The sequence below is a fragment of the Homo sapiens genome, chromosome 2 (genome assembly GCF_000001405.40).
Source record: "Homo sapiens chromosome 2, GRCh38.p14 Primary Assembly".
In the NCBI taxonomy this organism is placed as follows: Eukaryota; Metazoa; Chordata; class Mammalia; order Primates; family Hominidae; genus Homo; species Homo sapiens.
Window position 1 is genome coordinate 238,158,871 of NC_000002.12, and position 16,166 is coordinate 238,175,036.

The window sequence follows — 16,166 nt, forward strand, 5'->3', positions numbered from 1 at the left end:
GCGCGCACGGGAGCCGGGAGGGGGCGCGGGCGGGCGCGCGGTCTCGGGCGAGGCGGGGGATTCAAGCGCGTTATAAGGCGAGGAGCCCGGGGCGTCCGAGACGCCGCGCTCGGAGCCGCGAGGGAACCGCCGCCCGCATGGCCCCGGCCCGCCGCCCCGCCGGAGCCCGCCTGCTGCTCGTCTACGCGGGCCTGCTGGCCGCCGCCGCCGCGGGCCTGGGGTCCCCGGAGCCTGGGGCGCCCTCGAGGAGCCGCGCCCGCAGGGAGCCGCCGCCCGGGAACGAGCTGCCCCGGGGCCCCGGGGAGAGCCGCGCGGGGCCGGCCGCTCGTCCGCCGGTAAGACGCCCGGGCCCGCTCCAGACCCAGCCCGCGCCCGCACGCCCCGGCTCGGGGCGGCGGGAGGCGGACGTGGAGGCCGAGCCCGCCCTCACCCCCGAGGGCTGCTGCATCGCCTGGCACCGGGGCTCCGGGGCTCCGCAGAGACTCAGGGCCGTGTAGACGCCGCCCTCAGCCCGGCGGGGCAGCCTTGACTTTGGCTTTGGGGTAGTTTGACTTAAAGCAAGGTTCTACTAGGTCGGCGAAACCCCCCTTTTCTTTTGGGACAGAAGGAAGTTGGGAAATAGATAAAGTGTAAATAACTTGATTTGAGGAAATTGGGAAGAACGCATTTGTAAAAAGTGTAAGCGAATTACTGCCACCGCCCCCAATCTATTTGGTGCAATTATCTGGAAAACAAAAAGTGTTTTCCTGCGGATCTGGGGTCGGGGGGCTGTGCAGGGTGGGGAATGACATGTGGCTTTGAGTCAAGTGATCAGGTGGCTTTTGGCCGTGAGTGGGTGATCTTGAGCTCTGCCCTGCCCCCTCCTCTCCAGGGTTTTGGAGCCTGGACTGCTGAGCAGAGGGTGGTCCGGTTGGGGAGGTGTGGCCCAGGCCTGAGGAGGGGAGAACTTCAGAGGAGCCCTCAGTGTGGCCGGGCCTTGGGTCAGGGAGACAGGGCTGCCCCAGGGAAGCCGGGGTGGGCGGCCGGTGCTGTTTATTCTGAAGATGCTCAGGGGCAGTAGAGGGGAGAGCCAGGAACGCATCTACTAGAGAGGACAGGGGTGCAGCCAGGCCTGGGGTCCCCCAGAGTTCTCTATCCCGGCCCCATCACACCCAGCCACTTCCCAGGGACTGAAGGCACCCCCTCCCCGTGCAGTTGGCCAAACCACCCAGGTGGGCACAGCAGCCAAATGTCAGGGCACTGTCAGCAGGAGGCAGACGGGGCTCAGGGGCTTCCAGGTGGAGTTTTGGCCTTGGACCCTGTTTGTGGGGGACACAGTGACACCAGAGGTCCTCCCAGGCTCCAAGGCTTGTTTCTGAGAGACCCCTTGTGGCTGGAACCAGGGCAGCTGCCCAATACCCACCCCCATTGCTGGGGCCGTCTCCTGGGACGCCACCTTCTGCCTGTTACAGCTCTACCTGCAAACCACACTGGGGTCAGGGTCCGGCCACAGGCCACAGGTGCAGCTGGGAGGGTCAGCTGGGCACACCCCTCCTGGCCGGTGTGCGGCATCCTCGCCCCATGTTTCCACGGAGGGCACACAGGAAGTGGAAGAGGGTCCTGGGAGGGGGTAGAGGGGAGATCAGCCAGCAGGTGGTGCAGTTGACCCTCTAAGGCACAAGGAAGCACTGAGCAGCGCTGAGGGCCCTGGGCCCCTGAACCCTTTCTCCGCCCAACCACAGGCTCCTCGGCACCGCAGCCCCCATCTTCCCACCACAACACCCTGGCCTGCGCATTGGTCAGCCAGCTCCCAAAAGAAGGCCCTGCATCCCCCCAGATCAGCCAGGAACCAAAGGCAGTGACTTGGCAGCCGGCTTTGTCTCTGATAAAAGGGCCCAGTCAGCTCTAAAATCCCAGGGTCCTTCCGTCAGCCCCCAGCGTCAGCACCCATGACCTCATCTAAGCCCTCTTGGGCCGGTTTCCTTCCCAGCTGGCAGCCTTGCCTGGAGCCCAGATAGCCCAAGGCCTCTCCCAGGAAGGTCCCTCCCAAAACTGTGCTCAGTGTCAGCATCAGTCAGGATGCAGCGCGGACAGGAATGGGAACTTCCGGAAGCATCACTGTCCATGTGTCAGTGTCTCAGAAGTGCTGAGGAAATGAAAGTCTCACACAGAGGCCTCGCGTCATGACAGCTCGCCTGGTCCTCTCCCCCACTGGACTGTAACCCGAGGCAGCTGTGAGAGCTGAATTTGCCTCCTTAGAACTTCTGACACTGGGGGAGGATGGACAGAGGAGGGTTGGCTAGTAGTTGGGCTCCCTGATAATCACAGTTGCTTCTTCCTGAGCACCTATGGGTGCTCCAGTGGTCGGATCCTCCTGGTGACTGGAGGACGGTGTGATCACTGCAGCTCCTCTGGAGGAAGGAGGCCCAGCAGTACGGGGATTCACCCCGATATCCAAGCCCTGCACCCCATTTTCCCTCCAGGCATCTTGGGTCTGCCTCTCCCATGAGTGCCAAGTCCAGGCCGAGGTGTGGCCCGTTCCCTAGGAGTCATCCTCCACGGGCCGGGGGAGAAGCTGTGAGGGGTTGGGGCCCCTTTGGGAGCTGCCTTTGAGGGCACCACAGGTGACAAGGACCAGGGTCCCAGAGTACAGAAGGCCACACAGTCACCTCCTGCAAAGTGTCCCACCTGCTTGGTAGGAGCCCAGTGAGGCCAACCGCCCTGCTGGGCTGGCTGTGTTCCAGGAGCCCACCGCTGAGCGTGCACACAGCGTCGACCCCCGGGACGCCTGGATGCTCTTCGTCAGGCAGAGTGACAAGGGTGTCAATGGCAAGAAGAGGAGCAGGGGCAAGGCCAAGAAGCTGAAGGTGAGGCCGGCATCCCGTCAGTGCCAGGCCGTGGGGGGTTCCGCCTCCTCGCTCCTCATCCACTCCCACTCCTACATCCTGAACATTTCCAATAGCACACCCCTCACGCCTCGGCCTGGGGACAGAGAACAGAGAGAACCCAGGCAGCCCCAGGGGGAGCCCCGAGTTAGGGGCCTGGTCCCAACCATTTCCCCACACCCCTAAAATGCCAGGCTCTCCCTCTTTTCTCCTCCCTCTGCATCCAGGCCAGGGAGGCTGGGCTAGCCCAGGCTGTGGTGAGAACCTTGTCCACACTGGAGGGGCCTGCAGGAGTGCCTGGCTCCCAGGGACTAGGGGCACAGGGTCCCTCTCACCCTCACTCAGCCTTAGGTCTTGGCCTGGGCAGAAACTTGGTGCTTGGTCCTGGTGCTGCCTCCTGCTTGGAGCCCCCAAAATGGAAAATACGGGGTGTGGGCTTCTCTGTCCCCTGGGGGCCAGTATCACCTGCCTGGGATCTGAACACACGATGGAAGGCCAGCTCGGAGTGCATGAGGCAGGTGCACAGGCCGCGCTGTCCTCGTGGCCTGGCCTTCTACCTCTGCCCAGCCTCCTGGCCCTGCCCTAAGCTTCTCCCCACAGGGGGCTCACTGGCTTCTGGTTCGGGTCCCAACCCAGCCTAGTGGGGACCTGCTGATGGTGGACTCGGGCCCAGTGCAGACCCTGAGATGCAAGTCCCCAAAAGCAGCCTAGAGTCTTCTTCCCTCCACGAGGCCTGGCCGCAGGAGCGGGCTTCAGCCCTCTGCCTCCCCACTCAGAGCAGAGTCCTTCCCTGCCAAAGCCCCGCCCCGAGGGCCCCCACCTCCAGCACAGTCCTTGTACTCACTCCAGGAGAAGCTTTCACTGAGGTAGATCCTTGGCTGGAGGTTGGAGCCCACTGGGGAGCTCTGTTGCCTGCCTCTTAGTGGCAAGAGCTTGCACAGGGGATGCTGTGGCTCCCAGCCTGCTCCTCACATGTCCTCACTGCCAAGGTTCCCTTTCAGTTCGGCTTGCCAGGGCCCCCTGGGCCTCCCGGTCCCCAGGGCCCCCCAGGCCCCATCATCCCACCCGAGGCGCTGCTGAAGGAGTTCCAGCTGCTGCTGAAAGGTAGGGGTGTGCACCGGCTGGGACACACACACCCCGCTGTGAGCAGGGCCTGGGAGGGTGTCCCGAGGAGCTGACAGGGCCAACCTCAACACTTCGGCGGGCACCCAAGGAGGCACCTGCTCTGGGCTGGACTCAAGGACAGTAGAGCTGGCCAGGTCCAGTCTCTGCCCCATCTTGGCCCATGTCTGCCAAGGGTCAGGGCTGGGGATGGCTGGGGGTTGGGAACCATGGCCAGGAGAAGGCTTCACAGAGGAAGGTGGACCTGGCCACTCAGTATGGCGGGTGCTCAGGGACCAGCGCCTATGCCCTGCCTGGAAGTCAGGAGAGCCCAGCGAAAGGCAGAGGCTAGTGTATGGGGCAGCACCAGGTGGAGCTCAGCCTGGCACCCACAGTCACCACTGGCCAGGGCTGGGGCAGCCTGCCCTGGAGGAGGCAGGGCTGAGTGGAGCCGCGGAGTCCACACTGAGGCCTCCTGCAGAGCGGCGGCTCACATTAGTCATTAGAATTGAGCCGTTTTTTCCTTTTAGTTCAATGTCCTGTTCGTTTAAATATAGCACCTTCTGCGCTGAAGAACCTCCTTGTACTTCCAGTAAAGCTGCAATCGCTTATTTTACCCCCAGCGTCTTTGGAAAATGTGGGTGGGGTAGAGGTGAGGCTGGAGGCCAAGGGCGCTGGGGCACTTCTGCCCGAGCTTCCCAAATCTTGAGGGAAACGGGAGCCGCTGCAGGGTCAGGACGCAAAGACTCCGAGGCCCTTCAGGCCGAGGGGACGTCGCCCTCGCCCCACCCCTGCGCCCGGCAGGCCCCTGGTCTCGCTAGCACCTGTCGTTCAGGGCTGGACCCACGCGGCGGGCGGGTGAGGGGTCCCTGGCGCGCGGCCACCGCTCGCTCTGTGCCAGGTGCGGTGCGGCAGCGGGAGCGCGCGGAGCCCGAACCCTGTACGTGTGGCCCCGCCGGGCCGGTCGCTGCGAGCCTCGCCCCGGTCTCGGCCACCGCCGGGGAGGACGACGACGACGTGGTGGGGGACGTGCTGGCACTGCTGGCCGCGCCCCTGGCCCCGGGGCCGCGGGCGCCGCGCGTGGAGGCCGCTTTCCTCTGCCGCCTGCGCCGGGACGCGTTGGTGGAGCGGCGCGCGCTGCACGAGCTTGGCGTCTACTACCTGGTGAGTGCCGGCGCGCGGGAGGGCGGGTGAGTCCGGCCGGGCGGGAGCCGGGGTGACCATCCGTGCCCCTCGCAGCCCGACGCCGAGGGTGCCTTCCGCCGCGGCCCGGGCCTGAACTTGACCAGCGGCCAGTACAGGGCGCCCGTGGCTGGCTTCTACGCTCTCGCCGCCACGCTGCACGTGGGTGAGGCCCGGGGCGTGGGAGGATCGCCCGCTCTGTCGCCCACCCCGCCGCCCGCCCGCTTGACCACGTCCCACCCTCCCCCGCAGCGCTCGGGGAGCCGCCGAGGAGGGGGCCGCCGCGCCCCCGGGACCACCTGCGCCTGCTCATCTGCATCCAGTCCCGGTGCCAGCGCAACGCGTGAGTGTACCCCGGCCCGGACCCCACACCCGCATTCGCTCGGCCTCCACAAGCTGGAGGTGGTTAAACAGGCACTGGACGGGGCTTCCGCCCGTTCACACCCCACCGTGGCCTAGGTGACCCCACACCTTCTTCCAGGTCTCCCGGTCTACTTCTGCCCCTATCAGGCCTTCCCTTCACAGCAACTGGGAGCTGTTAAAAATGACCTTTCCAGCTGGGCGCGGTGGCTCACGCCTGTAATCGCAGCACTTTGGGAGGCCGAGGCGGGCGGATCACGAGGTCAGGAGATCGAGACCATCCTGGCTAACATGGTGAAACCCCGTCTCTACTAAAAATACAAAAAATTACCCGGGCGTGGTGGGTGCCTGTAATCCCAGCTACTTGGGAGGCTGAGGCAGGAGAATGGCGTGAACCCGGGAGGCGGAGCTTGCAGTGAGCAGAGATAGCGCCACTGCACTCCAGCCTGGGCAACAGAGCGAGACTCCGTCTCAAAAAAACAAACAACAACAACAAAAAAAAACCTTTCCAGGCCACTCCCTGCCCAGACCTTCACCTCCTCCCCAGGTCCTAGGAGGCCGGGCTCCTCCTAGCCTCCCAACTCCTTCCCACCTCAGGGACTTTCATCTTGGGGCTCGAAGCACCAGTGTTACTTCAAGAGGCCTCTCCAGACAGCTTTCTGGAGGCCCCCTCCTCAGTCGCCCTCCCACTCCTCACCCGGGAACTTTCTTCCCCATGATCGCATCCCTTGCTCCTGCACCATCTGGCCCACGAGTGCAGTGACTGTGAGCTCCCTGTCTCCCCACACCCAGAAGGGAGCCCAGGTACAGCGGAGATACCCTGCGGGTAGGATAGCTGGAGCAGACTTGAATGAATGGATCAAGTCCAAAACTTCTTAGTCTGCCTTTGAACCCCCAGAGTGTGTTGGCCTGAACTAACTTAGCATCACCTGCCACCACATCCCCACTTCCGGCTGCATCAGCCAGTGTCCTGTTTCCCATCAGAGCCAGGGCTTTGCTGCCTCTTGCTGGGCCCTCGCCTTGCCTTTCCCAATACAGCAAGCATGCCTCTGGCCCTGTGTCCTTCCTCCTCTTGGGGACTCGGTTCAGACACCACCTCCACTGGAAGACCTGGCCAGGGTCAGGCACTTTGCTGGGCATGTGTTGGCTGCTGGCAGGATTGTGTGTCGTAGGTGAAGTTGGTGGGGTCTCATGGGGCAGGCTGACCCTCCCTCTGTTTTGGGTACAGCTCCCTGGAGGCCATCATGGGCCTGGAGAGCAGCAGTGAGCTCTTCACCATCTCTGTGAATGGCGTCCTGTACCTGCAGGTGAGTGCGGCAGGCTTGGGCATCGAGGGGCACCGCCTGGGCATGGCCACGGGTGGCTGGGTGCAGAAGGGTGCTGTTAGATGCTCAGGATCACTGGGTCGGGTGCAGCACCCTCAGACTCCAGGCCTGGGAGAGGGTCCAGGACATGCCAAGTTCTCACTTTGGTCTGGGCGCAGCCAGGCTTCAAGTCCTGATCTCCTTCCTCCAAACACAGCCCTTCCCCGAGGGCACCTGCCCGCTTGAGCAGCTGCTCCGCTCTGCATTCCCAATATTCAGACTCCCTGAGCACCTCATCCTGAGGCCCAGTACTCCTGGCCACCACAAGCCCGCTGAAGGGACTGGTGCAGGGAGGGAATGGAGGCCAGCACTCTGCCCAGGCTGACGCCCTGAGTCCCCTGTGACTATGGGAAGCCAGATACGTTATTTTCCTACCCAAAACCCTAAGTGACCATCTCTGGCACTGTGGGAATTTTGGCAAGTGGTAGAGAAATGGACATAAAGGTGGAATTTACTAACAAAGAAAACAATTGAGTGCAGGTGTGTGGAATAACAGCTGCTATTGAATTCTCCCAGAGCTTTGGAGAAGGTAGAGCTACTCCCCGAGTTAGCCCAAGTTCACACAGCAGAGCCAGAAATGGAGGCCAGGCTGTCTGGCCCAGAGTCTGTGCTTGCTGAAAGGCATTTAGAGGTCCCTTCTGGGTGCCACACAGCATGCTTGGTGAACTCAGATGGTCTCTGCCCCACCTGGATCTTAAGATGCAGATCCTGAGGCAGGTCTGGGTGGATCCCAGATTCTGCATTTCTGGGAGTTCCCAGGGAATGTGACACTGCTGGTGCATGACCACGCTGCTGGTGCATGACCACGTTTGGAGCAGCCAGGCTAGAGTGCTGGTTTCACGGAAGGCTCTGCCAAATGACTGCCTGTGGGGAAGGGCCACCCTCCCACCTGACTTGGAGCCCTTGCAGGCTCTGAGAAGCCCTGCAGCTGAGAAACCTGTTGGACTCTTGAATCCCACTCTGGCCTTGAGCAGGGGCCCACTCCCACACACGCGAACTGTAGGGCGCTGCAGGGAAAGCAGAAGAGGTGCTGGGTGGGGCCCAACCCGTGCGGGCCCTTGCTCTGTGACCTTGGCGGCCACATTCTTCTCTGGGCCTGAGCCCTTCCCAAAAGCGGGGCTGAGTGGGCAGGAGGGAGTGTGGCTGGCTGGCCCTTGGGTCACCTCTGCAGGCTGTTGGGGTGGCCCAGTGCCTCAAAGGCACCCTCCTTGCAGATGGGGCAGTGGACCTCCGTGTTCTTGGACAACGCCAGCGGCTGCTCCCTCACAGTGCGCAGTGGCTCCCACTTCAGTGCTGTCCTCCTGGGCGTGTGAGCGGCCACCACAGGCCCTTCCTCTCAGGGGCAAATGGAGCACAGATCTAGACAATGTGTGGACAGTGTCAGAGTAGCAGTGGCCACATGGAGGAGGAGGCCCACCCGGAACTCTGCCCACACTGGCCACTGCAGTTCAGCCCACAGAGCCACTGCAGGCAGGCCTACGGACGTGACACGCACGCTGGTGGTCCCGGAGCCAGGGTTGATTCAGGACACCATCTTGGGCTCTTATCCAGGAAAGAAAGAGTCGGCGTGCCTGGGGGCACCTGCTAGTCTCCAGCTGCAGGCCGACTCTTTCCTGGCCTGCTCAGCACCTGCCCAGATGGCCTCTGCGTCTTTCCTGTGCCCAGCCCCACCTTTTCCACCTCTCTTCATGTTCTCATGGAGTGCAAAGTGCACCAGCCAGGGCCCCTACCTGGGAGAGGGTCAGCTGACGCAGGGCTGAGGGGGCTGCCACAGGGACGTACGCTGTGTGTTCTTACTGCTTAGAAGGGACGGGGTCACTCACCACTCCCCTGGTCTCCATCTGGGCTCCTTGGTCTTCCCTGCCCCTCCCCTAACCGTGTTCTACCTGCCAGTGGAGCTGAGCACTGCCTAGCCTGGGCCAGAGGGGCACTGGACAAGGGCCTTTGGGGGACAGTAAGTCTGGGCCCAGCTTCTAGTTCTAATGTGTGCAAGATTAACTCACAAATTCACCTCAGAAGGCCTTTCCAAATGGGAGCTCCACTCTTCCCCTCCTCTGCAAATCTTCACAGCCAAGGCCCCTTCCACCCTCTCCAGAGGTGGATGAGATCCCTTTTCCCCTCCCCTCTGAGGTGCTGACTCACTGGTAGGAGCCACCCACCAGAGGAAAGATCTAGAACGTCTTTACAGATTGGAGACAGCCGGGCCTGCTGACCCATCATCCGAATAGCTGAAGCAGAGTCTTCCACCAGGGGTGCCAGGGCCTGGCTGGGTCCAGCGGCTCTGGGATGAGCCTCCCAAGCATCTTTCCCACTTGGGTGGCCATGCGGCGCTGACATTGGACAGGTGGTGGACGAGAGATGGTCCCGAGAAAGGGTGGTCTTGGGAGGGCTGGTCCCAAGCCTGCTGTGCTCCTGTGGCAGTGATGGGGCCTGGGGATGGGGACGGCAGCTCTCATGAGGACACACAGGCTGTGAGCCCGCAGCCTCCTCAAATGTAGCCTCCCACATTTTCCCCAAAGTACAGGACTGTCCCAGAGTAGGTAGTGAAGAGGACAAGGCCCTCGGCAGCGACCTCCAGGGCCTCCTACCTGCTGAGGAAGAGTTAACCCACTGCCTCCCCACACAACAGGCTACGAAGAACCTGGTGCCTCAGGACCTCCTGGGAGCCAAGCTGGTCTGGCAAGGGCGCTCAGGCCTGGGAGAGAAGGGAGCAATGGCCAGTCACCTTCACCTTCTAACTAACTAGCCTCCGGATGAGGTGGCTGCCACCAGGCCCGAATGATCCCCAGGAGCCCAGCTTCCAAACCCCAACATCGAATCAAACATCTCCATCCCCAAGTGCAGTAACACACAAAAACCAAACACTCTGCCCTGGGAAAGGCCTGGTGCGATTCTCAGTAGGACTCACACCCACCCTACCTAGAAGTACTGGGCTGGCCTGGGTACTGCATCCGTGTGTTTTGATAAGGGGGTGATGTGGCCACGCCCTTATCTAGATTTCACTTTGTATCCACTGGGCACAGATATTCTAGAGAACTTATCTTTCACTCTTGTAAAAGCCACATATCCACATCTCTTTCATTTTTCTCAGTGTGTTATGCAGCAATTTATTAAAGTATTTATTGTCTAATAAATACTGCCAAGTGGAATATATTTATATAACTGACTTCGTGGGGTGGTTCAAGTACTTACTTAAGAACTATGTGACACAACAGTTACAAAACAAAAGGCAGACCTTAAGATCCGGAATCAATCCTTTAGCCCAGGTTCACTAAACTAAGCACAGTAAGGAGGAACCTGGAAGGTGAAGTGGAGATGGCCTCCAGCCTCTACGTGGGAGGGACTCCCTTGAAGGCTGGGAGTGAACCTTCCTGGGAAACTAGGGTCAAGCCTCTCGGGAACAGTGGGACATAGGGATGTATGAGTCACAGACATCAGTGTGCAAACACCTGGTTTGCTATAGGAAGATAGTTACCAAATGAATGGTTCTATTTCCTGATTCTGGGGTGCCAGGGCTCTTTTCTTCAATGAGGCCACACTGTACAATGTCCCAGTCCTCAAACTGAAATGGGTACTTGGCTCTTAAAACTCCCTGGGGAAGGAAGGGGCAGCACCAACACTTCGTTCAGTTCTTACTTGTGGCTTTTACACAACAGACCCCCAGGAGGCATCTAAGGTTTACATGAAGCCTTTACCACTGAGGTCCTCGCAGCATGGATACCAATTCCACTCAATCAACTGGGTGATAAAACCATGTGTGTGTGTTGGGTGGGGGCCAGGGAACATTACAAAACAGATTCTGAAAACGCAAATTTTTAGAATCTTACATCATCCTGAGCCAAACATTTACACAAAAGGATCCAAGAGCTGCTTTACTAAAAACTACTTACAGTCATAATGATGACGTTTTCTATATAAACAAGTGCTTGAAAAGTATTTTAAAGCTTATTCTTCTGAGCTTATTATTCTTCATGCACTCTTTTCATGCTTTTAACATCTTTAACAGAAGTGTCCCCCTTTGAGGTGTTATTGCAAAGATTAACCTCATTCCAGCACAGGGCCAACTCCCCACACCTACCTCACGTGGGAAGCAGAATTTCCGGGCCATGCTGAGCAGCCGGCTGCCTGCTCCAACAGGAAGGTGCACACCTACACCCAGGGAGTCCAGATGGAAGCCACTGAACCGAGTCCTCCACAGACTCCTTCCACCAGACTGCAGCTCTCACCAATGGAATGAGAATGGCTAATTCTGTACTGTTTCTGGCAGGTCTGATGCATGAGTAACCTTGTCTATGAGTCTATTTCCTGGCTAAGCCTGAGCTCATGCTATGTAACATTTTGCAACACTATTTCCATAGGGAAAACTGAAAAGAGCTAGAGGGTTCCCAAAGCCCTGGTCTGGGCCTAGCCTTGACTAACCAGTCATCCCCTGGGTCTCTTCATTGCAACATGCCACTTCCCCAACCAGGGTCATCATGACAGTGAAAGCACAGCAAAATGCCCGTGAACTACAAAACATCACACAACCAGCAGCCTGCAGGCCACTACGAGCCAGTCCAAGATGCCTATAATGGTTTTAACAAGGAAAGACAGCATATTCAAAAGCAAACACAATCTCTGAAGGGTCAAGAGGTGCTCACAGTATAATAACTCAAAAGACTAGGAAAAAAAAAGAGAAACCTTTATTTACAACCATGGGAGTCCCACAGGAGTACACAAAACACACAATGTGCACACACACAAAATGAACCTTTTAAGTCAATACCATGCGTGCTCCTGGCCGCGCGCCACCCCTCAGTGCCCTATCCGCACCACCATCACAGTGACGTTGTCGGCCGAGCCCCGCTGCACCGCCTTGTTGGCCAGCCTGTTGCAGGCTGCTTCGTAGCGGGCGTCGGCTGCGGACTTCCCTTCCCGGGTCTGGATCTTTTCATCCTACCAGATGAGAAAGGGAATGAGTGAATGGAGTGACCCCGCACCCTGTCACTTTCCTGAGACATGACTGCCAGGAAGAAGAGCTGCTCTGGTCTCCATCAGGGCTGGCAGGACAAACTGACCAGTGAGTCAGTAGGCAGAGTTCACACTGAAAAAGGGCACAAGGGCTGTCCCACAATGGGAGGAAATGGGGTCTCAGAACTTCTACTTCTCTGAAAACTAAGACACAATTGGGACAACCACCACCCCCGTGTGAGATTTCTCACCTCGAGACAGGACAAGATGAAGTTCACGGCTTCTTCTGGGGTAAAGACCTTGAAGAGCCCATCACAGGCCAACAAAATGAACCTACAACACCAGGGAGAAATATAAACGGGTTTTAGGCCCAACCAAAAAATAAAAAATAAAAAAAGGGCCTGGAGATGGAGATAAAATAAATATTTGTCCAACTATTCAAAGGCTAAGGTTTTTTTTTTCTTTTTTCTTTTTTTTTTTTTTTTGAGATGGAGTTTCACTCTTGTTGCCCAGGCTGGAGTGCAATGACGCAATCTTGGCTCACTGCAACCTCCACCTTCCCAGTTTAAGCTGTTCTCCTGCCTCAGCCTCCTGAGTAGCTGGGATTACAGGTGCCCGGCACCACGCCCGGGTAATTTTTTGTATTTTTAGTAGAGACAGGGTTTCACCACGTTGGCCAGGCTGGTCTCAAACTCCTAACCTCAGGTGATTCACCTGCCTCAGCCTCCCAAAGTGCTGGGATTACAGGCATGAGCCACAGCGCCTGGCCAGGCTAAGATTTGTTTAAACCCACTTAATTTCTGAGACAAAGGTTTAAACTACTTACAAGTATTTGTGGATAGGATGTTATACATCAAAACTGAGACTATCCTTCTCTTCGCCAATTAACAGAATTATTAATTACCTCAAACATTAGGTGCTGTACTTTCTTAGGCAAACTCCAGAAAAATCACTGAATAAAAACATGGGTGTTATGGTAAATATACAAGAATTTATAACACCATAGGCCTTACACCACTTCCAGACATAAAGCTGAGAATGAGCCCAGCCTCGGTGAAACATCCTTGGGCACACACTGCACAGCTTGGGGCTGCATCCAAGACCGAGGCCCAAGAAGGGGCAGCTGTGCGTGTTCCTGTGTTTGAAAACCACATGCTCTCCCTTTCAGAATCAAACCCCCCTAGACCGTCCCTGGAATCTTTCTGAACACCAATGGATTCAATGTGACAGTTCTAGTTTTCCTGGCATTGGGGGTGGGGAATACGCATCCCCACAGCTTTGCGGTATAAGCCACCCTCCTTTTCTCACTGTAATATCTGTGGGGTTTTTTTGTGTTTTTTTTTCTTTGTTTTTTGTTGCTGCTGCTGCTGTTGTTGTTGAGGCGGACTTTCCCTCTTGTTGCCCAGGCTGGAGAGCAATGGCATGATCTCGCTCACTGTAACCTCCGCCTCCCAGGTTCAAGTGATTCTCCTGCCTCAGCCTCCTGAGTAGCTGGGATTACAGGCGCCCACCACCACGCCTGGCTAATTTTTGTATTTTTGGTAGAGATGAGGTTTTGCCATGTTGGCCAGGCTGGCCTCAAACTCCTGACCACAGGTGATCCACCTGCCTCCGCCTCCCAAAGTGTTGGGATTACAGGCGTGAGCCACCACACCCAGCCTGTTTTCCTCGTTTAACTAGGCTTTCACTCGGCCGCTACTTGCCGAGCCTATCGTCCATGCTGAGAACACCGTGGGGCCTAGTCCTGGCAGGCTCCCACCCCTTCCAGTGTCCTGAGACTCAGACCCTCAATAACCAATCACACAGACCCATGACTACAACCCAGGAAGGCGAGCTAGGAAGCAAAGCAGAAGGTGCATCCTTCAGAACACCAGAGGCGGCGGCTGCTGGAGAGATGATGGAGGACCCCGCGGTACGTGAGAACATGACAAACACACTGAAGAAGATGTGGAGAATGGGGCAGTGGCTCAAGACAAGGCCAAGCAGGCGAGTGCCAAAGCAAGGCACGCGCTCTTCATCCGCAGCACTGGGGCGGGACTCAGAGCAGCACTCGGAGGCCCACTCGCCACAGTGCCACTAGTGTCTCTGGCCTCCCCTCATCAACTCAGTGCTGTGAATCCTGCTTCCGGGAGCTTTCCTTGACCCCTCCTGCTACTGCCTTAGTTCAGCCCTTCATCATCAGGCCAGGGCTGCTGCACCGCTGCTCACAGGCCTCCCTAGCCCCATAATGCCATCTTTAACCATCACCTGTTGAGGCCCTGCCCTCAGCCAGCACGGTGCCGTACCCTTAGGCATGGAGAACAGGAGATGAACAGGTGAACTGTCTCTTTCTCAACCGATCCTGGCTCTGTGTAAAAACCTATGATTCTCCACCAATGATCAACTAAAGTTCAAACTCTCCAGCATGGGGCTGAGGGCCGGCCCTTCAGGATCTGCCCCCAAAGTACCCTGCTATCACTTTCCCACCACTCCCTCCGTCCCTCAAGCGCCTGTCTGGCCATGCTTTCACACTGTCACATTTTAATGCCTTACTGTGTGTTCCCTCTGCCAGGAAGCCCCTTCTCCTCTCTCTGACAGGGATAACCCCTTCCCCTACTGCCAAAGACCCCAGCACACAGCACATGCCTAGGACACACTGGACTGCAGCTGCCCATCCCCATGTGTCCCCCCCTACCACTGTGGACCCCACCAGAGCAGAAACCACATTTTGTTTATCTCTGCACCCCCAGGGCCTAGCACCATGCACACCTTCCCTCCAACAAAGGCTTGATAGAAACTGGAAGTGAGGAAGAGAAATAAACCCACATGCACACACACCTGTGCCTCTTATAGGGCCTTTTACCTGTCATTGGGGGTCAGCTGGCAGCGTCTGATGTCGGGCACAGAGGTGACACCGCAGCGCTTGTACTGCCCGTCCCCAATGGAGCGTGACACCTCTAGCACGCCCAAAACACGCCCATCCCTAAAATGAGAGGAAAAACATTTCAGACTCTACCTGACAGATTATGGGTCCACAGTACTTAGAATCTCACCTTAAAAGCAGAGAATGGAAGTGTGAAAGATACAGACTGTGGAATTCACATTATTAACCACTACTGACATTTCTTGATCTCAAATATGCAGGGGTGTCTAGGCCATTAACTGCTGCCCTGGGGTAGGGACCCTGCCCAGCTGCACATGGGTGGGAACAGCACCTCCAGTGGCTGCCAAGCAGTGCTGCCCAGCTTAACCTTCGACAGGACTCAGCAGTTCTCATCACACACCTAGGTCCCAACTCCAGAATCGGATTTGACTGACTGGGTAAGGGAGCCTGGCAGTGTTTTGTATCTTAAAGCTCCTTGAGTGTTTCCCACATGCAGCCAGGGTTAACAATAGCTAGAACAGAGGGATATTTTGCATTTCAATCTAATTAGATTTGGAAAATCCCTGAAAGTGGCTATTCCTGGATTGTGGAGCACATGTCCTTTGCATCAAGTACAGGTACGGTTTAATGTTAATGTAAATGACAGTATCCTGCATAGCATCATAGTTTCACCCATTCTATTTTAGGTGAGGGGATATGGAGGAGATGGGGCAGTGATCTACAAATGGGAAGAGACATCTAAGGGACAGTCCTATTGCCAAGGAAAAACCATTTGGGGAAGCCTACTGCCCCAAAGAACAATTCTGGTCTAGGCTGCAGCACTGTCACCTTAGGCAGCTGCAAGCTCTCTCCCCTTCAGGCCCTTGTTTGTAAAGGCAAGGCAGAGAACCATACTCAACGTGTGAGAGAGCACTCCGCAAATGCCACGGCTGCGCATGGGCGTTTAAGATCACCACGGGGCTCCCAAATCATGGACCAAGCAAGTTCAGGAGATGCGGTGCAGATGGCTGCACATGGTAGGAAATGCTTCCTGGGCTGCTGTCCTAAAGGCAGAATTCAGCCTGGCCCTTCTCTGGGCCCCAGTTACCCTCTCAGTGGCTCACAGGTCAGTATCCGTAACAAACATGTTTTTTCTTCTTCAAAGACTTCTGCTGGTATCTGCAAAAAGCCTAGCGATCTTCTAGGATACAAACTGTTAAATAGCAAGAGGAAACAGTGCACAGGGGAAGAGCTGAGGACTGAAGATGGGTGGGGGCACCTGGCCTTAAGAGTGCCACTTCAGGAAGCAGCTCACAGTGTAAGTACTATGAAAAGCCAACAAAGTACCTCTCCCATGACCAGGTGACTGGGTGTCTGGTGTGGCTTCCGGCCATCCCAGTCATAAATCCATCCTGTTTCAACAAGATTAAGATTACAATCACCACGTCTGCAATGGCAGGTCCCAGAAGACCAAGTAGCTACCAGCAACTTCTGGTACTGCAC

The 16,166-nt window shown here is 57.2% G+C and overlaps 2 protein-coding genes across 6 annotated transcripts in view, besides 2 other annotated features; one reads left to right on the plus strand and one right to left on the minus strand.

Moving 5' to 3' along the window:
- Window positions 78–147: a silencer, noted in NCBI's record as "silent region_12487". NCBI's record gives its function as "represses an Ori minimal core promoter by ATAC-STARR-seq in GM12878 lymphoblastoid cells {active_cell/tissue: GM12878}" and the evidence as "EXISTENCE:reporter gene assay evidence [ECO:0000049][PMID:35858748]".
- ERFE (erythroferrone) lies at window positions 100–10,020 on the plus strand. Its single transcript, NM_001291832.2, has 8 exons — window positions 100–335; window positions 2,724–2,846; window positions 3,866–3,968; window positions 4,867–5,129; window positions 5,205–5,313; window positions 5,400–5,490; window positions 6,736–6,814; window positions 8,086–10,020. The coding sequence occupies exons 1-8, from the start codon at window positions 138–140 to the stop codon at window positions 8,182–8,184; spliced, it is 1,065 nt and encodes a 354-aa protein (NP_001278761.1). The 5' UTR covers window positions 100–137; the 3' UTR covers window positions 8,185–10,020.
- Window positions 4,288–4,788: an enhancer, noted in NCBI's record as "H3K4me1 hESC enhancer chr2:239071799-239072299 (GRCh37/hg19 assembly coordinates)". NCBI's record gives its function as "activates a minimal SCP1, AML or CMV promoter by ChIP-STARR-seq in primed H9 embryonic stem cells {active_cell/tissue: H9 hESC(primed)}" and the evidence as "EXISTENCE:reporter gene assay evidence [ECO:0000049][PMID:30033119]".
- Window positions 10,021–11,531: 1,511 nt separating the features above from the next.
- Window positions 11,532–16,166, minus strand: part of ILKAP (ILK associated serine/threonine phosphatase) — a 33,294-nt gene continuing 28,659 nt past the window's right edge. For 4 of the 5 annotated variants that reach the window (NM_030768.3, XM_006712784.2, XM_017005058.2 and 1 more), the window contains 3 exons: window positions 14,664–14,783; window positions 12,073–12,154; window positions 11,532–11,806 (listed from right to left, as the gene is read on the minus strand). In NM_030768.3, coding sequence (NP_110395.1) covers window positions 11,666–11,806; window positions 12,073–12,154; window positions 14,664–14,783 — 343 coding nt within the window. In that variant the 3' untranslated portion in view covers window positions 11,532–11,665. Of the gene's footprint in view, window positions 11,807–12,072; window positions 12,155–14,663; window positions 14,784–16,166 lie in introns of those variants that run through there. The other variant, XR_007082537.1, reaches the window with a different exon arrangement.